The sequence below is a fragment of the Homo sapiens genome, chromosome 18 (genome assembly GCF_000001405.40).
Source record: "Homo sapiens chromosome 18, GRCh38.p14 Primary Assembly".
In the NCBI taxonomy this organism is placed as follows: domain Eukaryota; kingdom Metazoa; phylum Chordata; class Mammalia; order Primates; family Hominidae; genus Homo; species Homo sapiens.
In genome coordinates this window covers 53,478,860-53,505,821 of record NC_000018.10, presented here as the reverse complement: position 1 = coordinate 53,505,821, position 26,962 = coordinate 53,478,860, and the positions used below count along the sequence as shown (strand labels likewise).

The 26,962-nt window shown below is 36.3% G+C and overlaps 2 protein-coding genes across 10 annotated transcripts in view; one reads left to right on the top strand and one right to left on the bottom strand.

Annotated features, from left to right (window-relative positions):
* LOC124904304 (uncharacterized) overlaps window positions 1-24,987 on the top strand; it is a 266,099-nt gene extending 241,112 nt beyond the window's left edge. For 3 of the 5 annotated variants that reach the window (XR_007066375.1, XR_007066376.1, XM_047437986.1), the window contains 2 exons: window positions 502-599; window positions 24,749-24,987. Coding sequence is in view for 3 of the 5 variants with exons in the window: in XM_047437986.1 (XP_047293942.1) it covers window positions 502-599; window positions 24,749-24,809 (159 nt within the window). In the remaining 2 variants the exon portion in view is untranslated. Of the gene's footprint in view, window positions 1-501; window positions 600-9,890; window positions 9,983-17,813; window positions 18,055-24,748 lie in introns of those variants that run through there. The other 2 variants (XM_047437987.1, XM_047437985.1) reach the window with 2 other exon arrangements.
* Window positions 1-26,962, bottom strand: part of DCC (DCC netrin 1 receptor) — a 1,195,703-nt gene that overhangs the window by 30,078 nt on the left and 1,138,663 nt on the right. For 3 of the 5 annotated variants that reach the window (NM_005215.4, XM_017025569.2, XM_011525844.3), the window contains 2 exons: window positions 18,864-19,025; window positions 6,312-6,524 (listed from right to left, as the gene is read on the bottom strand). In NM_005215.4, coding sequence (NP_005206.2) covers window positions 6,312-6,524; window positions 18,864-19,025 — 375 coding nt within the window. The remainder of the gene's footprint in view (window positions 1-6,311; window positions 6,525-18,863; window positions 19,026-26,962) is intronic. The other 2 variants (XM_017025568.2, XM_047437311.1) reach the window with 1 other exon arrangement.

The window sequence follows — 26,962 nt, the reverse complement described above, 5'->3', positions numbered from 1 at the left end:
ACCTTTCCTTCACCATTCCTTCTGTCACTCATGCGGCCACCCACTCTGCAGTATAATCCAAGTACATTCTTTGTAGCTTACATGTTTCGAATTATGTCTTCTATTAGGTTACAAAGTTCTGAAAATAGATTATTTATTATTTTTCACTTTCTCTTACGATTATCTGGATGGCCACTGAATACTTTAACCTCAGAGTTTCATTGTATTAGGTTGATATAGTTAACTTCAGTTTCATATATGGTCTAACAATTCTTGATGCGATATTTTCTTGTAATTGGGCAAACCTTTCATAAAAGGGACTCAAACTTTTCTACTGCAGTCATTCACTCCCTCCCCAAAAGAAGTTTTTGCAATTCTGAAAAATACTAGCTGTTCAGTTTTTGCTCTCATTGACCTATGCTCACACTCTCCAACTCCCATTGTAAGCAATAGTCCCATATGCCTTAAACTCTTATATACTTCTTTATGCTCATCTTTATTTTTTTTAATTTGTTTCTAAAGCCTTGGCCATCAGTGATGGTGAAAGCAACAGATGTCAGATGTCAGCCCCTGGCTTCCTGCCTTACCGTAGAGGGATACTCGACAGACAGACTGGACAGGTGAGTTAAAGGCAGATGGCAGCTATTCCAGAGTGCTCCAGCTAGTTGCTACTTTTGCTATAACATCTCCTCTCCATGTAATGCCAACATAAAGGAATAAAATGTTTACTCAAACACTCAGCTAAATGACTTAACTTACCTGATGTAGTTCCTCCTAAAGAATATTTAATTATTAGGATCCTAGAAGACCCCTTTTAGGGGGGGAAAAAGTCACTCTAAGAATAACTGTTAACATCACAAAAAAGCTAGGTAAAATCCTGTATCTATCTATCTTCAAAGTTAGTTAAAAAAACAAACAAACAAACAAAAAAACATTTCTCCAAATTCTTTACATTTGGCTGTCACCTCAATTGTTGACCTTGGGCAAGCTACCTAACGTTTTTAGGCCTCTGCTTTGTCACTTATAAATAGGGCATCAATTACTTGGCTTACGCATAATGACTCTTCTAGAAATTATTTCTCTCTCCTCTGGGCAATTAACAGAGCTCTTTTCCTATTAATATTTATTTTCTAAAACCTCAGAGGAAATACTAATTTATTAAGCCACCAAGTAGGTAGGTTCCAGAGTCACAAACATTATTGATACTTAAATTTGCCTTAATTACATTTTACCAATGGTAATTTAGGATGACCAGACCAAATCGAATCATCCTAATTCTGTTAGGAGTGAGGACAGGAAAATTTCAAGGAGATGTCTACCAAAAAGCCACACCGATAGCTTTCACATGAGATGAAACTTAGATGTAGTGTAATTTTCCACTATAGCATTGATTGGAAGTATTGGCTTCAATAACAGCAAATCAACACATCTCTCCTATTTAGCTGTGCCAATGATTTATTCTATCTGACTGGCCTTTAAAATGACCGTCTTGTGTCACCTTCTAAAGGATGTCTGATCTCCCATGACCTCTGCCTGTGGCTGATTTTAGCAGAATGGAACACTCGTGTGGTATTCTTGATGAATACCCGCAATGGCAGCCTACGAGTGGCTCAGGGAAAGCAATTGTATTAAGGCATTATAGTAATTTATTGGCAGTTTTGTGTGATAGCAGATTTACTGAAATAAGGCCTGCCAAAAAGATCAGGTTACAGCAGGAATACATGATTTCCCAACCATCCATAAAATATAAATCAAACGCCTTTTCTGTCCACTGTCAGCCACCTCCACCCCCTCCTTGTCTTCAGTCCTCAGACAAATTAAAGCACATGCCACAATTTGCACGGGGAAAATCAAACTCAATTTCGCAGTACAATGAAGTGAGTTTTGGACTTGTCATGTCCACTGACATATTGATCCCTTGAAGATGGAAAAGATCAGAATGCTCTGGAGTTTTGCTTTTATAAATATATGTGTGTAAAATGCAATGTGTAAATGAAGGAAAATATAGTGCTTATGGAGTTTTACAAAGTTGCAAGAGGTCCAGGGGGCTAATGTTATAAAAGAGTATTATGATATAAAGGTCACTATTTAAGAGATCACATTTTCTTTCCCTTTAGAATTACATCTCTAGAAGACAAATGGTCTCCTAACCCAGGTTCATTTAAAGTGCAGCTGATCACTAAAAGGAATTTTAACTAGTAAAGAAGAAAAAAACCCACACACCCTATCTTAGCCCTTTGTAAAATTTATGTCAGATCTATAATGCAATAAGCCCAATACTCTATCAAACATTTTCTATTTAACCTGAAAGTGGACTAAGCCAAATCACTTACATGTCTACATTTGTGATTTGCAAAGTGTAGTGATTGCAGCCTCCATGAAATGTGTAAAGATCTCACGGTTATTCACGTCTATAGATAAAGCATTAAAAAATGGAAGCACTCTATTATAAGGTGATGATGAAATTGTAAGAAACACCATAAATACCCTAGAGTCTTGTAAGTTACATTTTTAACTCAGCAGGTGGAAGGAAAAAAAATTGAGGAAATGAATCTGTTTTCAGGTAAGCAGAATTTCAGTCGTTATGACAACAGAATGGCTTTCTAATTACTGCTTACTATAAAAATATTGCAAAATGCTCTGCAACCCCATGGAGACTATTACTGCATAATATGTTTTGCCCTAGACCCATGTAAAACTGCTGCAAGCATAGCTCTGTGTGCCTTATTGGGAGGCAAACTAAGGCACAGACTGATGGTGTTGCCCATGAAAATCCACAGGGAGGGGAACAACACACACTGCACACACTGGGGCCTGTCGGTGGGTAGGGTGAAGGGAGGAAGAGCATCAGGAAAAATAGCTAATGCATGCAGGGCTTAATACCTAGGTGATGGGTTGATAGGTGCAGCAAACCACCATGGCACACGTTTAACTATGTAACAAACCTGCATGTCCTGCACATGTACCCCAGAACCTAAAATAAAATAAATTTAAAAAAAAAAGCAAATTCACACACAGGAATTTGAGTGGGGAAAGAGCTTCTTCCTTGATCCTAATCTCAAAGCTTTCAAAGTAGAAGTTTCTCATTTTTAAAAATTAGAGCAATGCCTCACATTACCATATTCTAAAGTAATTACTTGCGGTAAGTAAAGATAAATTCATCACTAATTATGCAGTCCTTTCTTGTGAAATCCACAGTAAAATTATTTGAGGTATTTTTTTTAAAAGCTGACAAGAGAATGACTTTACTTCATCAATCGGTTTGAGGAAAGTAATGATTTTCTTAGAATCAAAACTTGTTGAAAGCTCTAAGTATTTCATCTTTAAGTCTAAGAAGCATGTAGTTAATGTCACAGCTAATACATTTGTCAGTCTGCTAATTTTCTTTTTCTATCAGAATAAGTAAACATTAGCCCTTTTAAAAAGCATGCTATTTACCATGTGTCAGGAGCAATGCAGGAAGAACTTATTTGAAAATCATGAGGTAAGACATTATGAAATGAACAGGAATCATAGGAAGACAATAAGAGAGAAACACTAAAGGAAAAAGAATTTAATAATTCCAAAGGGATGGCGGGGCATGCCTCCAGTTGAGTGGGGGAGAGGAGTGGCATTTAAAGAGGAGCTATAAAAAACATAAAATCAAACAAAAACTCTAGCCAGAGATATCTGAAAATAGGAAAGAAGAGATGGCTTGAGAGAAATAGTTCAAATAAAAACAAAAGAAGGATCTTAAGGGTACCATGAAAATAAAAGAAAACGAGATTTTGCCTTGTTGCCATTAGATCAGAGAATGGTTCTTTGGCTCTTCAGACATGCTTATTATTTGATGAAATTAGTATAGAAACAGCACAACTGATTCTACTTCCCTTCTATGAAGGACATAATCCACTTATACTGCATTGTATCAGATTTTGTTTTAGGCAGCTTTGGCATTAATGTAATTAGAAGAAAATAACTAGTAAAAAAATGCCAATTCTCTGCTCCATCTATCATCAAATCTTCTTTAAAAAAAATTGTATCCTTTTGTTATTGTAGCACTTCAGAGCATAGGTTGACTTCCAAATCTTGTGTCCCAAACTAAACATCACTGGTGCAGTAAAATTTTTCATTTAAAGTAGCCATAGTAGCCTCCAGAATGTCATTTTCAGCTGTTTTATTCTTAAAGTTTTTACTTGCAAGCCGAGAGAACATTAACAGCATAAACTGCTGCAACCGCACTTTACTTTTTGTTGCTACCAAATTGGTCCTCTTTACTATAGAATAGTTAAGGTTCTTACCTTTCCTCATTAAAATGTGAGTGAAGAAATCTGATGAGAAAATATATTCTTCAATTCAGAATTATTTTAAGATGTTTCTTGATTTTTTCTTCTAATGATTTAATTTAATGATTTAGTCGTTTTATTAGTCTTTTTCTTATTAAACAAGTTAGACATAAACTAAGAGGCACAAATGAGTTTCTAAAATTTGAGAACCCAGGAGAGCAGGGAAAAGATGCATTACTTACTTGCTATGTAGACTTAAGCTACTTAAATTCTCTGTGTCTCAGTTTCCTTGTGCCTAAAATGGGGTTAAGACTAATAGCTACCTTACAAAGTTGTTTAGAGGATCAAATGAGATGTAATAAGCCTTCAGAATCATGCCTGTCCTATAGGCAGGTGCATTAAAGATTCATTAAAGGCTCGTTATTGTTAGCAGTTGCAATTAAGCTGTCAACTATCTTGAATACTAGTTTCCTTCAAGGTCTGTTTCCTTGGGTTGTGCTTGCAGTGGGGAAACAGATGCAGCCAGAAATCACAAGGAAGCATACTCTTGGCACCAGAATTTCAGTAAATGAATGCTCTTGCTTCAAGTTGTCTCTGCCTCAATTATCAAAGACTTCATAGTTTTGGGGCCATATAAAGTAGCAGATCCTCCCCATAATGTAGTATGTGTGGAGTGTGTATGCATGGGAGGGTGGAGAGAGGGGCTTGGGCAATACAGACCTTTTTAAGTCCCTATGTGGGCTTTGCTGGGGTGAGAAGGGCCATCTCTTGTAGAATGAAATCATGACCTGTGCTGAGCCTATGTGTCAAGGAAGACTCCATAGTGGAACGTGCGTCCCAACCAATGGAATCCTACATGCTTTCATGCTCCACTCCACCTCCCAGGGGCTGTGTAGCTGAGTATCCATATTGCACATCATGTGAATGTTGAGAACATCAGAGGTGATGTGTACAAATCAACTAATGTCATCCCAGCAACTAGATACATTCTTAATATAAAATAATTAATATTTATACTTCATAGACAATCATTTTTCTAGCTTTTACAGTCATTATGTGGCTTGTGTACTAATGCAACAAAATAAATTATTGTAGGTCTGAGTAACAGAAAAGTTAGTCAAATGTATGAGCATAATGTAGATTAGCCCAGTTCAGCTGCCTATGCTCATCAAGGAGGCCATCTCAGATTACTGAAATTTACTATCTTATGCCTGATATACTGAGGATTTTAAGAATTATTCTAATATTCCAAATAATTTTAAGTACTATTATTTATTTATCTCTACTTATCTATTGACATTCATTCTACCTGTTTCTTCTTTTCCTCCTCTCCTCCTTCTTCTGTCTCTGCCTCTCTCTCCCCCTCCTCAACCCCTAACAAAAACAAAATGGAGCTCAATTTGGATACTAGCTGAAGTAATAAAATCAATACTGCATTGGGAATCTGGGACTCATTTCCCATCCCTGCCATCTTATTTTCTTAGAAAGGACCATAGATATTTTACTTTCTATCAATCTAAATGTTAGTTAGTTTCTTCATTTTTAAAATTAATTGAGTTGTACTCAGCACTGGTTCTGACATTTCTTTGTGGCCTAGTACTCTGAAATAAATAAGAACTCCTGAGAAATGACTATTGAAAGGCACAAATTAGAATTATGATTTCTCTAAAAAGTGGTTTTGCAGATTTTTATACCTTTACATCTAGTCTTGCAGTCTAGCTTTAACGCTTAGAACTCATGTGGCAGAATGAAGTTAGGGAATCAGGAATGTTTCCAGTATTCTCTAGCAAGCACACCTATAGCACATATTAAAAATGGTGGACTGGCTTCCAGGATTCATGGACAACTTTCCAAAGGGATGAAAAGCACCTACAACCAATCAGTTGCTTGGGAGGTGGGTCATTAAGGGTTACACTACAAGCATCAGTAACAAAAATGAGCACACTGGGCATGTAATCAGCATTGAAAAGATATATGACATCTAGGCCTTCTCAAGCACCCTCATGCACTTAAATAGAGGCACCAATAATAATAAGAATTTTAAAGGTGAACAACCGAGTACTTTACCTGGCTGAGACAAAAGTGGTGTGTAAGGGACTTTCGGTTCTATTGCACTCATTGGTGGAGGTAGCAAAGGATTAGCAAAGCTGCGGAGTGGGTGAGTTGGTCGAACACAAGCTGTGGGGATGGTTCTGCTTGGTGCCTCCTCGCTGCTAGAATGCTCAGGCTGAGATGGGGGCAGCATAGGTGGTTGTTGGGTAGTTGGTCCTTCACTCACTGCTGCAGTGGAGACAAGAAAAGTCATTCATTATTCCTGGACAAAGTCTGTTTTCCTTAAGTCACTGGAACAGTCCCTGCATCCATTCAGAGAGATGTGATAGGATGTGGTCAGTCTCTTCTCCAAGTTATGAACATTGTCATTCGTCTACCTTCATATACTTACGGAACATGACAGCACTTCCCCTTTAAACAATAGAAATAGATCCAGCAGGACAGGAATTTATCTTTGAGAAAGAATAGTAAAATATATTGAGCACTGACTATATTGCTTGAACTGTCTGGGCCCTCTAATCATAAGTGATGAAGCGAGAAAAAAGAGTTATTTCTCCTTTCATAAGTAGCAATGTCAGTGAAATTCAATGTACCAAACCCTGTTACAGCTGCATTATTTTCTACCAGCCAATTTTTCTGTGATTTAAACATGCCATGTCAACTGTCAAACAAATCAGAGTTACAGGATGCTCAGAGGCATTGCTAATAAAATGATACAAATAATAACCACTATCATTATCTTCCATAACAAAATGGAGGCACATCTAGCTAAAAAGTTATATGAGAGATGACTCTGCCAGAACAAGTTGCCTGAATGCGGAATTGCAATTTTTCCTCTTTGATAGTAAACCTTGTAATTTTCAGGCAGATTACGGTAGTTGAAGAGGTTCTGCACGGTTACTGTGAGTGCCTATGGGCATTTGAAAAGCTTTGTATATGGAAATACACCTTTTTTTTTTTTTTTCCAGAGAACACAGTTAAGACAGAATAAAATATTTTCAAGGAAGTTTTCCTTGTTAATGACACAGTGATTGAACTTGAACTATTCATTCATATTCAAAGTTAACAGGTCCAGGTTAAACTGCAAGCAAAACGAGCTGCATAGTAGGTTTAAGTATTAATAAAATATTTTTTCTGATGACTTATTTCTTAATAAAGTTTTGTCAGATAAATCAAAACAAAATGCAGTGATATAAGATAATATCTTGCTTTTGAAAGAGAATTTTTAACCAGGAAATATTTCAAGATAATTAGTGAGATAATTTTGAGACAAGTCTCCCGGAGGCTCAAGGAGGTCATCAAAGGGCAGAGGAAATAGAAAATCTGATAATTCTGAAGGGAATAGAGATTTAAGATACAAAAGATCAAGACATAGAATTAAAGTTATGCAGAAGTGAAATGTGTCTTCAGAGGGTATCTATACTCATTCTTCTATATTCAGAAGGGGTTAGAGGTCTTCTGGGTCATTGAGCAGCCTCCAGGCTTATCCCATTCAGAGATGAAGGTAGAAAGATAGATACAAGGTTGGCTGAGCACAGGATGTAGCCATATAGCAATCAGAGCCAAAATACAGGCAGAGACTTGATAAAAGATTTCTTTGAACAAGGGAAATGAATCAAGGCAGCAAATGAGAGAATCCCAAGGAGTTTGAAGAGAAGTGCCTTATTTCCAGGCTAGGAAATCTTTCTTACCAAAGAAGAAGAAAAAGAGCAAATGAATGCACAGTATTAAGGATAAAGTGTAGGGCTGCAAGTAAACCATTAAGGCAAATCCTTGGTGATGTTGGCTTTCAGATGCGAGGCTTTAGGTAGGTGTTATACAAGGCACTAAATTTCTTTTAAGACTGTAAAGGGGAGAGAAACACTTGTGTGCTTGTATTCAAACAGTGTCATGTAATGAGATTTTTGTGAGTGTGGTTCTAGAGACAATGAAAATTACTCAGGTTTGACTTTTGACTCATTTAATCTAAAGGAGACTATGACCGATGGTCAATTTTTAGCCAAGACCCAACTTTGGGCATCTTTGTGGCACTGGCCTGAAAGAGATGACATCAAGTCCTCTCCTCACTCTTTGTTCCCATAAGAAAGTTTACCTTAATGTGGGCCTCCTTGATAGCAATTCCTTCCAACCACAGGTCTCAGAGGATGCTTGTGAAATGTTAGATTGCAGGCATTGCTTAGGAGGAAAAGGCAGGCTCTTTCACAAAGGATTCTCAAGATAATCGTTGGATTGGAGAAAATTATTCATCAGAAAGAGTTTGTAATTTCACAGAAGAAATTCTGGGGAAGTGAAAATGCTTTGGCTTCTGTGTTCCTCTGTGAATTGTGCGTCTCACAAATGATGTTCCTGTGGCTATTTCTCTAGGTTCCTCCTTTATCTCCAATGGGCTAGCTTTTCATTAAAGGGTCTATAAATGCCACATTAAAAATATTCATCCAGGGAAAGAAATTTCACAATTTTCCTCAAAAATCTGCCTTAAATAATTCTCTCTATTGAATATGGATTGCAATTAATGCACATTACATTTTAAACACTGGTTTAGCCATTAAAGGGACAATATGTTTATGATGTTTTATTTCCTTTTTTACTCCCTTCTTTCAATTTTTCCTTTTCTACTTTTTCTGCATTTTTGAAATAAAATCTACATTATACTTTCAACCACTTGATCAATTCAGCTATTGATACTTGTGTATGCTTCACGAGGTTCTTGTGCTGTGTTTTTCAGCTCCATCAGGTAATTTATGTTCTTCTCTAAACTGGTTATTCTAGATAGCAATTCATCTAACCTTTTCTCAAGGTTCTTAACTTCCGTGCATTGGGTTAGAGCTTCCTTGCATTGGGTTAGAACATGCTCCTTTAGCTTGGAGGAGTTTCTTATTACCCACCTTCTGAAGCCTACTTCTGTCAATTCATCAGACTCATTCTCTGTCCAGTTTTGTTCCCATGCTGGTGAGGAGTTGTGATCCTTTGGAGAAGAGGCATTCTGGTTTTTGGAATTTTCAGACATTTTGCAGTGGTTTCTCCTAATCTTCGTGGATTTATCTACCTTTGGTCTTTCTTTGATGTTGGTGACCTTCGGATGGAGTCTCTTCGTGGACATCCTTTTTGTTGATGTTGATACTATTCCTTTCTGTTTGTTAGTTTTCCTTCTAACAAACAGTCAGGCCCCTCTGTGGCAGGTCTGCTGGAGTTTGTTGGATGTCCACTCCAGACCATGTTTGCCTGGGTATCACCAGTGGAGGCTGCAGGACAGCAAAGTTTGCTGCCTGTACCTTCCTCTGGAAGCTTCGTCCCAGAGAGGCACCCGCCAGCCAGAGCTTGCCTATATGAGGTGTCTGTCAGCTCCAACTGGGAGGTGTCTCCCAGTCAGGATACATGGGCTGGATGGAGACCCACTTGAGGAGGCAGTATGTCCCTTATCAGAGCTCAAACACTGTGCTGAGAAATCCACTTCTCTCTTCAGAACTGTCAGGCAGGGACGTTTAGGTCTGCTGAAGCTGTGCCCATAGCTGCCCCTTCCCCCAGGTGCTCTGTCCCAGGGAGATGGGGTTTTTACCTATAAGTCCCTGACTGGGGCTGCTGCTTTTTTTTCAGAGATGCCCTGCCCAGAGACGAGGAATCTAGAGAGCCAGCTTGGGAAGAAAGGATATCAGAGATTGAAATCAACTTAATGAAATAAAGTGAGAGGATTAGAGCAAAAAGAGTGAAAAGAAATGAACAAAGCCTCCAAAACATATGGGACTATATGAAAAGACCAAATCTACGTCTGATTGGTGTACCTGAAAGTGACGGGGAGAATGGAACCAAGTTGGAAGACACTCTTCAGGATATTATCCAGGAGAACTTCTCAAGACAGGCCAACATTCAAATTCAGGAAATACAGAGAACACCATAAAGATACTCCTCGAGAACAGCTACCCCAAGGCACATAATCGTCAAATTGTCAGATTCACCAAGGTTGAAATGAAGGAAAAAATGTTAAGGGCAGCCAGAGAGAAAGGTCGGGTTACCCACAAAGGGAAGCCCATCAGACTATCAGCGGATCTCTCGGCAGAAACTCTATAAGCCAGAAAGAGTGGGGGCCAATATTCAACATTCTTAAAGAATTTTCTTTCTTTCTTTTTTTTTTTTTTTTTGAGATGGAGTCTTGCTCTGTTACCCAGGCTGGAATGCAGTGTGCGATCTTGGCTCACTGCAACCTCTGCCTCCCAGGTTCAAGCAATTCTCTGCCTCAGCCTCCTGAGTAGCTGGGATTACAGGTGCCCACCACCATGCTCAGCTAGTTTTTGTATTTTTAGTAGAAATGGGGTTTCACCATCTTGGTCAGGCTGGTCTTGAACTCCTGACCTCAGGTGCTCCACCAGCCTTGGCCTCCCAAAGTGCTGGGATTACAGGCATGAGTCACCACGCCTGGCCTCTTAAAGAATTTTCAACCCAGAATTTCATATCCAGCCAAACTAAGCTTTGTAAGTGAAAGAGAAATAAAATCCTTTACAGACAAACAAATGCTGAGAGATTTTTGTCACCACCAGGCCTGCCTTACAAGAGCTCCTGAAGGAGGCACTAAACATGGAAAGGAACAACCGGTACTAGCCACTGCAAAAACATACCAAATTGTAAAGACCATTGACATGATGAAGAAACTGCATTAATTAACAGGCAAAATAACCAGCTAGCATCATAATGACAGGATTAAATACACACATAACAATATTAACCTTAAGTGCAAACAGGCTAAATTCTCCAATTAGAGTGGCAAATTGGATAAAGAATCAAGACCCATCAGTGTGCTGTATTCAGGAGACCCATCTCACGTGCAGGCACACATAGGCTCAAAATGAAGGGATAGAGGAAGATTTACCAAGCAAATGGAAAGCAAGAAAAAGCAGAGGTTGCAATCCTAGTCTCTGATAAAACAGACTTTAAGCCAACAAAGATCAAAAGAGACAAAGAAGGCCATTACATAATGGTTAAAGGGATCAATGCAACAAGAAGAGCTAAGTATCCTAAATGTATATGCACCCAATGCAGGAGCACCCAGATTCATAAAGCAAGTTCTTATAGACCTACAAAGAGATTTAGACTCCCACACAATAATAGTGGGTGACTTTAACAGCCCACTGTCAACATTAGATCAATGAGATAGAAAATTAACAAGGATATCCATTACTTGAACTCAGCTCTGGACCAAACAGACACCCACACAACCCTCCAGCCCACATCAACAGAATATACATTCTTTGTAGCACTACATCACAGTTATTCTAAAATTGACCATATAATTGGAGGTAAAACACTCTTCAGCAAATGGAAAGGAACGGAAATAATAAACAGTCTCTCAGACCACAGTGCAATCAAATTAGAACTCAAGATTATGAAACTCACTCAAAACCACACAACTACATGGAAACTGAACAACCTGCTCCTGAATGACTACTGGGTAAATAACAAAATTAAGGCAGAAATAAAGATGTTCTTTGAAACCAATGAGAACAAAGACACAACATACCAGAATCTCTGGGACACATTTAAAGCAGTGTGTACAGGGAAAGTTATAGTACTAAATGCACACAACAGAAAGCAGAAAAGATCTGAAATCAACACCATAACATCACAATTAAAAGAACTAGAGAAGCAAGAGCAAACAAATTCAAAAGCTAGCAGAAGACAAGAAATAACTAAGATCAGAGCAGAACTGAAGGAGATAGAGACAGGAAAAAGCTAGCAGAAGACAAGAAATAACTAAGATCAGAGCAGAACTGAAGGAGATAGAGACAGGAAAAACCCTTCAAAAAATCAATGAATCAAGGAGCTGGTTTTTTGAAAAGATCAACAAAATAGACTGCTAGCCAGACTACTAAAGAAGAAAAGAGAGAAGAATCAAATAGGCACAATCAACAATGATAAAGGGGATATCACCACTGATCCCACAAAAATCAAACTACCATCAGAGAATACTATAAACACCTCTGTGCAAATAAACTAGAAAGTCTAGAGAAATGGATAAATTCCTGGACACATACATGGAACGTATCTCAAAATAATAAGAGCTATTTACAACAAACCCACAGCCAATATCATACTGAATGGGCAAAAACTGGAAGCATTCCCTTTGAAAACTGGCACAAGACAAGGATGCCCTCTCTCTCACTACTCCTATTCAACATAGTGTTGGAAGTTCTGGCCAGGGCAATCAGGCAGGAGGAAGAAATAAAGAGTATTCAATTAGGAAGAGAGGAAGTCAAATTGTCTCTGTTTGCAGAAGACATGATTGTATATTTAGAAAACCCCATCATCTCAGCCCTAAATCTCCTTAAGCTGATAAGCAACTTCAGCAAAGGCTCAGGATACAAAATCAGTGTGCAAAAATCACAAGCATTCCTATACATCAATAACAGACAAACAGAGAGCCAAATCATGAGTGAACTCCCATTCACAATTGCTACAAAGAGAACAAAATAATACCTAGGAATACAACTTACAAGGAATGTGAAGGACATCTTCAAAGAGAACTACAAACCACTGCTCAAGGAAATAAGAGAGGACACAAACAAATGGAAAAATATTCCATGCTCATAGATAGGAAGAATCAATACCATGAAAATGACCACATTGCCCAAAATAATTTATAGATTCAACGCTACCCCATCAGGCTACCATTGACTTTCTTCACAGAATTGGAAAAAACTACTTTAAATTTCATATGGAACGAGAAAAGAGCTCATATAGCCAAGAGAATCATAGCCAAGAGAATCCTAAGCAAAAAAGAACAAAGCTGGAGGCATCATGCTACCTGACTTCAAAATATTCTACAAGGCTACAGTAACCAAAACAGCATGGTACTGGTACCAAAACAGATATACAGACCAACAGAACAGAACGGATGCCTCAGAAATAATACCACACATCTACAACCATCTGATCTTTGACAAACCTGACAAAAACAGGCAATGGGGAAAGGATTCCCTATTTAATAAATGGTGTTGGGAAAACTGGCTAGCCATATGCAGAAGGCTGAAACTGGATCCCTTCTTTACACCTTATACAAAAATTAACTCAAGATGGATTAAAGACTTAAACATAAGACCTAAAACCATAAAAACCCTAGAAGAAAACCTAGGCAATACCATTCAGGACATAAGCACGGGAAAAGACTTCATGACTAAAACACCAAAAGCAATGACAACAAAAGCCAAAACTGACAAAAGGGATCTAATTAAAGATCTTCTGCACAACAAAAAAGCTATCATCAGAGTGAACAGGCAACCTACAGAATGGGAGAAAATTTTTGCAATCTATCCATCTGACAAAAGACTAATATTTATTTAGAAGCTACAAAGCACTTAAACAAATTTACAATAAAAAAAAATCCCATCAAAAAGTGGGCAAAGGATATGAACAGACACTTCTCAAAAGAAGACATTTATGCAGCCAACAAACATATGAAAAAATGCTCATCATCACTGGTCATTAGAGAAATGCAAATCAAAACCGCAATGAGATACCATCTCAGGCCAGTTAGAATAGCTATCATTAAAAAGTCAGGAAACAACAGATGCTGGAGAGGATGTGGAGACATAGGAAGGCTTTTACACTGTTGGTTGGAGTGTAAATTAGCTCAACCATTGTGGAAGACAGTGTGGCAATTCCTCAAGAATCTAGAACTAGAAATACCATTTGGCCCAGAATCATGCCCAAAGGATTATAAATCATTCTACTATAAAGAAACATGCATGTGTATATTTATTGTGGCACTCTTCACAATAGCAAAGACTTGGAAGCAATCCAAATGCCCATCAACGATGGACTGGATAAAGAAAATGTGGCACATATACACCATGGAATACAATGCAGCCATAAAAAAGGATGAGTTTATATCCTTTGTAGGGAGGAAACCATCATTCTCAGCAAACTAACACAAGAACAGAAAACCAAACACCACATGTTCTCACTCATAAGTGGGAGATGAACAATGAGGACACATGTACACCAAGGCCTCTCGGGGATTGGAGGGTAGGGGAGGGATAGCATTAGGAAAAATACCTAATGTAGATGATGGGTTGGTGGGTGCAGCAAACCACCATGGCACGTGTATATCTATGTAACAAACCTGTACATTCTGCACATGTACCCCAGAAATTAAAGTATAATAAAGAAATCTACATTATTGTGATTGTAAGTTTAATAGAATGTACATGCATTTGTTAGTCTTTTGAAATTTGGTCTCTTATTTTGAAAACTTTCATATTTCACATGAATTCTGATTACGCCACTGAATTTTCTTTTTTCCTAATCCTACTCTTTAACGCCATTGCTCCTCATCAGCATCTCCAAAAACAAAAATTGTCTGCATGCCCAGTCTTCTATCCCCAAGTTTTCAGCTGGCTCCTGTGATCCTGGCTGCAAACAAACATCATGATATGGCTCTTGACTTTGACAGAAGTAAAAATGGCTTTACATAGGTAGGTCCCCTCTTTAGCAAAATCCATCCTTAGTACCACATAGGGAGAATAGGAAAGTGCCTAATGTACTAGACAGGAGTGAGAGGGCCCTTCCTCAAGACGGAATATATCACCAATCCCTAAGGGACAATTTCTGTTGTGTTCAAAATGAATACAATGAACAGGTATAGGATTTCCATCTATAATTCATAATTCTTATATTTTAAGTGGAGCAAAATAAATGCTTTTTGGAACTGCCTGACACTTAAGGCAGCAAAAACCCTTTAACAAATACAATAGCAACTGGTCCGCCAGTGAAATACTCTCATTTCAGATGAGCACTTTTGTCCAGTTCAGGCACTGGCTTTAGGACACCTATGTGAAACAAAACAAATTGGCTTAGTGGCATGACATTTAGCTCTGCCAAGATCTCTGAAAGCAAAGAAACCTGCTTTTGTCCATGACGTGCCCCTGCTCTGCAATTCAGAGTATCGAGTGAGAATCAAATACATGCTAGCAAGGCACTTGTTGTTACATGATGAAATAGTCAGAATTCATTATACAAATAGCATACCATTACACAGCAGAGTCAAATCTCAAGGTACTTTATAATAATTAATGTCAATACATATAAATAATTGCTACAGAATAACTGGGAAAATATTATAAAAATGGAAATGAGGAATTTTCTTCTATATAAAAACTACAATATGTGATTGATAGAAATATAGCAAGCCAATAACTCTAAGCAAAGACTGAGTCATGAACACTTCTAGAAACCCAATTCACTCATTAACCTCAGAAGAACGACGTAACACAATATTTTTACATAACCCCAGTTTCTTACAGCCTGTATTTTTTTAAAATACCCTAGAGATTACTCTATGAACTCCATTGCACTCCTCATTTTATCTAGGTCAAGTTTCATTTATTAGTTGATTTCCCATTTGAGGGAGAACAGAGGCAGAAAAATAGCATGAATAAAGCTGACCAGCCTTCCCACTAGTTAAGACAATGTCAGAACTAAAAGGAAGAGTGGAAATCACTTAAACTGCTCCTCTACCACCTACTTGTTTCAAAGACAAGAAAGTGGGGGCACCAATTTTGTACTGATTTGTAGAAATGAGGCCCCAAGACTATCTATTGGTTGAAGTTTTCAAATACAATGCAGCTAAACTGTTCCCTAGGGATAACTCATTTGCTTATTGAGGCTAAGAGCAGTACTGCAGTTACTTATTAAGAAGAAGAAATATTTGTCCATCACAACTATATAAATATAAATATTATTTACTGATAGGTCAGCGAATACATGTAATGCAAATGTATGTACCATATCTTTTCTTTCCTTATGGTTGGAGAGAAATTCAGCTTTATTTGTGCCTTCAGAAGGCAGCAGACCTTTGGAATAGGACTTTAGTGATTCATTTCATTTCTTATAAAACTCAAAGGTCTTTCAGATAACTTTGGAGGAAAAAGAGTTTCCACCTTGGCAAAGTCAACTTTTTCTTTTAATACGTGTGCCTTTCTCTGTTTCCCAAGGCGACTAATAAGATATATCCACCCAGATTCATGAAATGTTTTCTGCTTGAGAGAGAACAGGAATGTTTGTTTAGTGTTCTCTAAGGCATTTAGAAACCAATAGGGAATGACGGGAAATGGGAAGTTAGTTAATTGTTTCTGACAGTGATTTAGAGAATATTTAGTTTCCTAGAAAGGAGGGTGAGTGTTATTTATTTTAAACAGTCACTTGGAACACATATTAGATCTTAGTTGCTTTGCATTGTGCATAGCTTTGCTCAAAAAGTTCTTGATGAATGACTGAAGATGTATTTATTTTAAAAATCTGTAAAATCTTGGGCAGGAGTAGAACATCCAATGCCTTTTCATTTTAGATAAAGTTAAAAAATCACTAAGCATTTTGTCGTATAACTACTTTTATTTAATAATCCTTACTTTAAAAAATAAAAACATCTTCTAGAGAATAAATATTTTAATCAATTAATTTCTTTTTTTTTTTTCTGCCTCAGCCTCCTGAGTAGCTGGGACTATAGGCGCATGCCACCATGCCCAGCAATTTTTTTTGTATTTTTAGTAGAGATGCGGTTTCACCATGTTGGCCAGGATGGTCTCGATGTCTTGACCTCGTGATCTGCCTGCCTCAGCCTCCCAAAATGCTGGGAATACAGGCATGAGCCACCTCGCCTGGCCCAATCAATTAATTTCTAATAGATTTTATTTTTAGAGGCATTTGAGGTTCACAAGAAAATTGAGCAGAAGGTACAGAGATTTCTCACAAGCCTCCTATCCCACATACACACAACCTACTCACTCTCAAAATCACAAGTCACACATGAGACTTTTAACCACAGATAAAAACAAATTTTATACTAGTCAATTCCCTTTATTCATTTTCGTTGAGCTTTAACTTTTGGAATCATTTTCCCCATGATTCAATAAGAGAGAGTTTCACATGCTGCACCAATTTAAGAGGAAAGAGGAAAACGGAAAGAGTAAATTGATGTTGGATCTCAATGAATAAATTTTCAAAAGAAAACTATGCCTTTAAAAAAAGGGACAAGAAATGAGTAACACAACACGAATAAAAATAGTGAATTACTAATTTTAAAAGTCCTGAATTTTGGCTTGTACCAGTCATGATGGAGAAACCCGATAAAGGTCATTCTACACATTCTTTTTTTTTAATTTGAAATAAATAGAGTCTAGCTCCATCACCCAGGCTGGATTGCAGTGTCACACTCTCAGCTCAATGCAATCTCCACCTCTCAGGCTTAAAAGATTCTCATGCCTCAGCCTCCCAAATAGCTGGGACTATAGGCATGCGCCACCACACCCAACTAATTTAGAAGAGACAGGGTTTCACCATATTGGCCAGGCTTGTCTCCAAATCCTGACCTCAAGTGATCTGCCCACCTCAGCCTCTGAAAGTCTACACATTCTTTTCATGTTTCCCTTTAAAGTCAGAGAATATACAAGAAATCAAAAGAGTGTAGGAGACAACAAACCAATAGACCGAATACTAAACTAACATTAAAACTTGTCTTTTTTTTTGTTGCAGAGAGCTTCATTTTAGAAGTGAAGAAGGCACTTGTGGGCTCTCAATTCTTTGATTGGAATTCCATTTCCAGTTGTCTTGGGATTTGAAAATTTTGGTTATTAGACTTTCTACATCTTTCCTATTTAATTCCCTTCAATGCAGTTTGGGCAACTATTTTTCCTCGAGTTTTTGCACACAACTCTATTCTGTAGATATTATGTGCAGTGAGAAAAGAGAAAATAAATCTAATTCTCCCTTGGCAGATCTTTGATGCCTTTTAATTCTAACCTTGCTGTATCTAGACGATTTATGATTTCTTAGAGCTGTCCCTGTTTGGTTAGAAAAATATACCTTACCTCAAAAATATATTTTATTGTTGTTACTATCATATCTATTACAAAACATCCTATCTCACATGAGCTGCTGAGTCACCTGTTCTAAGAGATGAAAACCATAAAATAGATTTTAAAACACTGTGCTCAAAAAAAAAAAAAAAAAAAGAGTCAAATGGCACAGCAGAAATCACCAGGGTGTATATAATAGCTTGAGAGTCTCTTTTCATTCCTACCTTCCTTCAAAGAAATGAAATAATACCCTGGAAATCCTTTTTTTCTGATAATTAATTTTTAAAGCTGAAAAAGTATCACTTACCTGATTAAAGAAATCTAAAGCATTCACCCAAGTTATTGGTTCATCAGCAATCAGTGAGACATAACCAACAGATACCAAATATGTTGGAAGATATCACTTGATTATTAATTTCCTATTTAATAGGACATATTAATTTCAAGTACCCATCACATCATTGTTTGATGGAACCACTTGACATTTGTTTCCCCACCACTTCCCCTTGTATTGTCAGTGGAGTGTGCTGTGGAAAGGTGCCTAGGGAATCAGTACAAATGCACATGAGCTAGGATCCAAAGCACTGTGTTGGAAAGGAACATTCTAGTACCACAGTCATAGGGAAATCAACTTTTCTAAGGGATAAGGTCAGAATGCAACATATTTTACAAGACACCTTTGCTATTATTCATTTGTGCTTATTAAAAAGAGAGGAAAATGCATTACACTGACTTCTTCCTGCTCCGAAACCTCGGTCCACTGAGAGTGTTGGGAATGGCACAGGCCGGAGAGTGAACTGCGGGTGGGGATATCCACAGGTGGGAGACGGGAGGATTCCTGGGTACTGGGCACTTTCTAGCGTTGGCACCGGGATGGCGCTCACGACAGCTGCAAAAGAAAAAGGTTAATGGGTTTTTTGAACCTTATGTATTCACTCAACAAGCAAAAAAGAAAACGGTGGAATTTTCAGATCCTCAAATCTATACACACTCTTCATAGTATCAACTAGGTTCCCTTACTTACCTCTCTCCACCAATCCCACTTTTTACTTTAGAAAAGACAGCTCATCCCTCAAGCATCATACTACGAAATATTACCCTGCAGTTTAAAACATTCCAGGGCTCCAAACAAAGAAACAGTTAATCAAGTTACCATAAATCCACCTTAACATTTTATGTCGGTCATGTTGTTTGTTTGTCTTGGTCTTAGTCTTTCTTTTAAGGATGAACTATGGCATTAGAAAGGTTAGGTTGTTCACAAATCAAATATATTGTGTAGAGTGGGTTGAAAAAATGTTGGGAATTTTCCATTAATTCTGTAAAAGAATGTATTGCTCTTGAGGGACAGTCGAGAGAGAGAGAAGCAAAGTGTTTTCTCAATAGTCATACTTAGGATTTATCTTTAAATAGAAAATATCTTCAAATACCCAAATCAGTGCAGGTGAGTGACATATTAAGTGTAACTGAATGTTTTTCAGGAATATCAACTTTTTTTAGTTACAGTGGCTGAAACCCACAGATAAAAAACATACAAAATATCTTCTAGGTTTAGATAGTATTGTTCAATTTCATTATTCAATAGCTATTCAATTATAATATATATTAAATATTCCAATTGTAGTCAATCTTTATCTTATATTTTCTTATAAAATGTTTAGCATTCCCTATCTTTTATTATGCCAAAGCAAAATTTAAGTCAGCTACCTGAATGATCAGTTTTAGCAGTATATTCCTGTCTATGAAATTAATAATTTATTTTTATTTATTTAGATGGTAATGCCAATAACTGGAGTTCAACATACACATACATGCATGCACATTTACCAAATGAAAATCTTTTCTTTTGTCATATTCCTCATTTTATAACATTATAATTGTAGATACAAATTACACTGCATATTGTAACTCAATGAGAAGCAACATATAGATTTCTTTTAAATTCTAACTGAAAATTCAGATTAAATATATAAAAGATAAAAGATTTTAAAAGGGCTGCTTCTAGTAAACTAGCTATTGAAATTATATACCAGAATTTATTTTTCAGTATATTTATAACGTTTCTTAAAATGCATTTGAACATGTTTACTTAAACTGAAAAATGAAGTCAGACTGTTTCAGATAAAGCATTTTGATGGACTGGTTTGAAAATGAAGAGTGACTCTGCTAATCAGATTAAATGATTAGTATTTCCTATAAATTGAATAAAAATATAAATCATTTAAAGATAAATCATTTCAACAAAAATTGCTTTAGTGAAGATCTAAGTGATATTTCAATTTTCCTAATCTTGTCTTTATTTTTCAGTAAAAAATTGTTGGGTTTTATTGGGTTTTTGTTCTATCACAAATTCTTGCTTTGGAGTGTAGAGGAGTGATGACATTAATAGAATTTTTTTAAAAATACATGTTATTGTGTATATTAGAGGTTTATGACATATTTTGAGACACATATAGATACATGTAGATAGTAGGTTGGTTACCATAGTGAAGTAGATTAACATATCTATCGGCTCACAGTTACTTTTTGTGACAAAGTAACATAGTAGCTAAAATGTACTTATTTAACAAAAATCCCTAATACAATACAATTGTATTAACTTTAGTTCTCATGCTGTAGGTTAGGTCTCTAGACTTGTTCATCTCACATGTCTGCTATTTTGCATTCTTTGGCCTACATCTCCCCATTTCCTCTCCCCCTCCCACCTGTGGGAACCACTGTTTCATTCTCTATCTCTGTGTATTTGAGCTTATATATGTATTATTTCACACATATATTTCACATATAAATGGGATTGTTGAAAGGTTCATACTACCCAAAGCAATATGCAGATTTAACACAATCCCCATCAAAATTCTAATGGCATTCTTCACAGAGATAGAAAAAAATCTTAAAATTTCTATGAAACCATAACAAATATTGAATAACCAAAGCAATACTGAGAAAGAAAAACAAAGTTGGAGGCACTGCACTTCCTGATTAGAAATTATGTTAAAAAGGTATAGTCTCTTCCATAAATGGTGCTGGGGGAATGATTTTCACATTGAAAATAATGAAATTGGACCCTTATCTCACACCATACAGAAAAATTAACACAAAATGGATAAAATACCTACATGTAAGACCCAGAAGTTAATTCCTAGGAGAGAGCATAGGTGAAAAGCTCCTTGATTTTGGTCTTGTTTATGATCTTTTTAGGTTTCACACCAAAAGCTTGGCTTCAAAATCAAAAATAAATAAATGAAACTGCACCAGACTAAAAAGCTTCTGCACAGCAAAGGAAATAATCACCAAAAGAAAAGGCAACCTAATCTTGTCTTTATATATTGTTACAAAAAGTGCCTCTCGGTGAAAGCAATTTTCAAGTTTATTTTAAAATTGCTGATAAATTTTGGTACAGCTTTTTATTGTGAACCTCCTAGAAAACAAGAAAGTAAATAACTTGAATGAGTAACAAATACTTCTGCAAGTCAGGTGGTTTCTAACATTTTCATTTAGAGCATAATTGAAGGAAAATCTCAGGTAGTTGTTAGTTGAAAAATTATCAAAAATAACAGAATAAGAAGTCACAATGTGATTTTGGCATGTAATTTGGGAGAAGTTCAAATTGTTCAGTGATTGCTATAAAGATCTCATTGTTATAGTACTCATTCATATATATATACACACACACTATATCTATCTATCTATCTATCTATCTATCTATCTATCTATCTATCTATCTATCTATGCAAACATAGGCAAAGGTTTCACAGTGTTTAGATCAACAACAAGCACACTGGAATAGAATTAATGCAATAAGCAACATTCATACATGGATGTATGCAATTAATGTACAAAAAGCCCCATTCATGTCATTAAGTGATAACACTCCAATAAAATTTTACGCTATATGCCATTGTGGAGAAACACTAATTGTAATGTTAACAAGATCCATAGGAAAGAAAATTAACAAAGACTCATAGTCACTGGAAATACAAACATAAAATAAAATTTTGGTTTATATAAATTTTATGCTGCAAAAAAATAAGATAGATATATAATCAAAAAAAGACCCACAAACATAAAAATAGATCATGTTTGTATGTTAATCTGTGGGGAAAATAAATTGTAGATTCCAGTTCAAGGAGAAAAATGAGTGGTGTTAACTTCTATCTGTTAACAAGGCACTTCCTCACATATTTTTTAAGGGGATGATGTTGATATCAAACTACTATGGTATTTTTGTGCTTTTAGATTGGTTTAAAAGCATGTTACATCAGAAAAATTCCATCTTTCACAGGTATTTAATGTGTAACAAAATATTTTAAGTGTCAAATTTTAAATATATGAGGGGATACATAGTTTTTCTAAATTATTTTAGAGAAGACATGAATGAACATTTGAGAGTAATTAGTACAAAGCACAATGCCTCAATAAAGATATTTTATGAAAAGCACATTATGGATATATAAACACGTAAACAGACTCCAGAAAAAGGGAAATTTAAAAAATGACAAGGAAACTTTTAAAAAGAATCAGAGATTCAAACCAGATACCAGCCAAAATGTTATAAATTCCTTAAAGAAATAAGTTATAATTTTGTTGTCTTTGTGTCTTTTCTAGGACAGTGCTAGAGATACTTCATATTTTTCAAGTGAGTTTAATATGAAGGATTTTCTAGGAGTATTATTTAGAAATCTGTCATTTTAACACACTGGAGACTTTTAGAGTGACTTGATATATGATTTACTCTCCTGGGGTATATAGTTAATATAATAATAATGATAATAATAATGTAGTTGAACACATTTGTAAATATAAGCCATACCAGAGCATAAAGTCTATTTTTAAACAACTCAAATTCCCAGACTCTGAGGCAGTCAACTGAATTATTTCACCTGTCTTACTGATCAAATGGATCACTGCAGTCATTAAAGTGGATTGCTAGATTGCAAAACATTCCCAGTATTGATACTTTTTACTCATAAATGTGACAATGTTAGTCTCCTTTAAATATAGAAAATACTCATTCCACAAACTGTGCATACTATATTTTATTATCAAAATGAGTATATTATAATACAAGCAATAATATTATTAACAAATGTTTCACAGTACGTTTAGAAAAAGAGTTTCATACGTATCTTCTGATTTGGAGCCAAACAAATTTGGAGAGAGAAACATAAAACAATTTTGCAAGCCATATAATCTTTTAGTTAGAGTGCTGAGAGCACTCTAGAGACTGAACTTACACTGCAGTTCCAAGTCTTTCATTACTGAAGAAAGAAATTTTACTTTCTAATAGTTTTGTATTTTTGCTGCTGACCTGATTACAAAGGGTTTACAAATAATAAACCTTCTTTCAAAAATAATAAATCTGTTGTATGTTTCTGCATCTCAAAAGTGTTCATTATTTTGTGACATCAGATAGAATAGCCAGTATCCCAAAGCTTCGATCTTGAAGTATTTTATTCTATGATTCATTTCTGAAAAGGCACAGAAGTCTACATTTACTTATAACAAAAAATAATCATTCTTAAAGTAAGTTGGATAAAACATTAGGTATTAGGATATCTTTTGGTATTTTTCCCCTTGACGTCAGTTTTGAAAGTCGGAAATACACACACACACAAACACACACATACACACAAACACACAAATGCTTCAACTCAAAGCATTCACTCCACTGCTATGTTTATGTAAAACAGCTCAGAGAGCGATATCATCAAGCATTTTCAATAAATCTCTGCTCTGCGGCAAAATATGACAAGAAATCTGTTCTGACACAGCTTTCTGACAATTGAATTTATCTCTGACATTGATGCACAAAATTTTTCAAGTAGAAATTCCCTCACCAAATTACTTAGCTCCCTGAACAAGGCACATTGGTATTTGAAAACTTCCATAATATTCTAAAATGTTAGCACTAAATACTACCTATAGGAAATCAAAAGTAAAGATTTTTTTAAGCTACAATGTTTAAGAAATAATAAAACCCTCCCTAGATATTTCTCAACATGGTACTTGACAGAATTGAGAGATTTGTTGAGGAGACGAAGGAGACAAAGATAATGGTATGTCGAAATGAAAGAGCTTAACTGAAATGATTTTTCATTCTGCCTCTTTTTATCTTCTCTTTTCCACAATGACCTGTATATTATCTGGGACATTTGGAAATTTAGCCTCTATTGTCCTTGATATTCATATCTCCTTCACATTTTCAGGTGTTCTTTGATAAGCAAGTGCCACAGAATGACATTCACAAGTATCCACAAACTCCATAGAGGGTCGCTTTTGGAAAAGCCCTAAGATTCATAAATATGTGCTTTGCAGTTATTCTTAATATAATGGTAAAGAGTCCTAAGTGCTGAAGTAAAACTGCCTGGATTCGTTACCTAGTTCTACTCCTTGCTAGTGAATAAGCATCATAGCCAGCGTCAAAGATGCCTCCCACTGATCCCACTTCATGGAGTTCACATGCCTGTTGGGTTCCCTTGCACATTTTACCAGGATTGGTCTGGTGAGCAGTAGAATGTGGCAGAAATGATGGTATGTCTCTTCTAAGATAAGGTTTAAAAAGATTGTACATGCTCACTCTGTTTTTCTCTCTCTCTCCTCTCTTCTCTATTTTAGATCACTCATGCTGGGGAAAGCCAGGTGTCATGTCTTGGGGAATCCAGGTGTTATGTCTTAAGGACAGGCTGGCAGACCTGTGCATACGCCCATGTAGCGAGAAACTAGACCCTCAGCTCAAGACACTGAAAGAAACCTCATGAAACAACTTGAAGCTCTGACCCTGAACCACCTAGCTAAACTGCTCTTAGATACCTGATTCTCAGATACTATTGAGAAAATAAACAATAATTATTTTATGTTGCTACATTTTGGGAGTAATTTGTTACATGATAATAGCTACACGTTGAAGAGCAAATTATTCACGCTCTGTTTTTCAGTTTCCTCATCTGCACAATGGAGTACCGATTTTATGATGTGGTTGTGAGGATTTAAGAGATCATCCACAGAGAAGTGCAACAGAGTACAGGGTCAGAAGTCAGCACCCCATAAATGTTGGGCATTGTAATTAATTTGCAAGGCTGCAACAGATCCATCCAAAACTGCATTGAATATCTTTTTTAATTGAAAATATTGTTTAAAACATCCTGTCTTACATTTGAAAAAAAGAGTGCTATGCATTAAGATAGAGGAAAATAAATAATAGTTTTTAAATTCAAATTTGAACCTGAGGGAAGTATGACCCTGAAAGATTTTTGACATGAGAAAGATAATTTCTAGTTCAAGTTCTTGTTTTGTCATTTATAAGCTGAAGGAAGGCATTTATTGAAGTCTATCTGGCCCAATTTTAATGTGGTTTATACACGCTTTCCAAGATGAGACAGAATGTGGACTGGCTGGCTTAGTGCTTGCCACAGCAGGAGCTATGTGTTAAGATCAAATAGGGTGAACTGTGAGAAGGAAACTTTAAGACCCCTGCAATCTCCTACTATACTCCTTCTATCTGGACCTTTACTCCTCTATCTGGACCTTTTCAGCTGAGATCTTCTCAAATGAGATGTGTCTATGAAGCCCAGATATATGAAATAGTTGTGAACATCCAGGTGTACATTTTGGCTCCATGATATTAGACAGAAGATGAGGCCATAGGAAAGATATAGACTCTGATCTGGTTCCATGGAATTCCTTTGAAATGAGCTTAAGGTATCACAGTATTCTTTTCTAAGCAGACCAGAAAGATTTCCACAACAAATTGTGAATCCATTTGCCTTAGTCATTCATAAGTTACCCCCAGATCTCCAAAACCTTGTGTGAGATAGGAAATGTTGTGAGGTTTAAGAAATGGTCCATTTTGTTGAAGAAATCTCTAAGATATTAGGAATTAAGAAATAATTAGGTAATCTAAGTCTTGAAGGATATCTGTATTTTTACATTGCAATAGAAACTCTTTCTAGAAGCTAAGTTGGTATACTTTTTATACTCCATCATCTAAAATATTTACTTTCACCAACCCTTTGTCAGATCCCTTCTTCATTACTTCTATATCTTTGAAAAACAAACTACTTCTTATCTTGTAAAATCCTCCCAAAAGATACAATTCTGTACTCTCTACAGGAACCTTTTTAAGCTCTGACTGTGTCTGCATAACTCTACTGACTTGCTGATTTTCTTAGTCCAATAGAATTAACAATAGATTAATTTTGTTTGAAAATTTATTTGCTTATAGAGCTACCAAGAAACGACATCTAGGTCTCCAGTTCCCATTCATTAACAACTTTTTAATTCCATTTTTATACAGAGCCATGGCATCGCACAAAACATTGCATAATGCATAATGAATTGTGTGCCTATAGAGTTTGAATAAAAAATACTGTTCCTTTCAGTAATTCAGAGTAAGAGGTGGAATGAAGTATGTCATCGAAGACTCAAAGAATAAAAACTGATATTGATAATGAATTGATCAGATTAGTATTTAAAATCATGTATTAGGTAATGAGATCATTTCTAATGCAAATTTAAGTGTGCTTTGAACTTTTTTCTCACCACCGTTCCTACAGTTCTGAATAGTTGAAAATGGGTGTGCTGTTGATATTTATCATACTAGAACGGCTCTATGCACTCCTTACTCCTAGGAAAGAATTCTTGGTTGGTTGTGGGCATCCACAAGGGCTGAAGGGTGATGGAATAAATGCCCAGTCTCAGAAGACTATTGAGCTGGGACCAATCTTAGGATGCTGGTTTCTCGCACCTTATATGCATGAGTCAAAGGGATGATCGTCTCACAGACGAGTCCCTCTCAATGTCCATTTGTGTAGAAGCAGGCCTCCTGGTAGG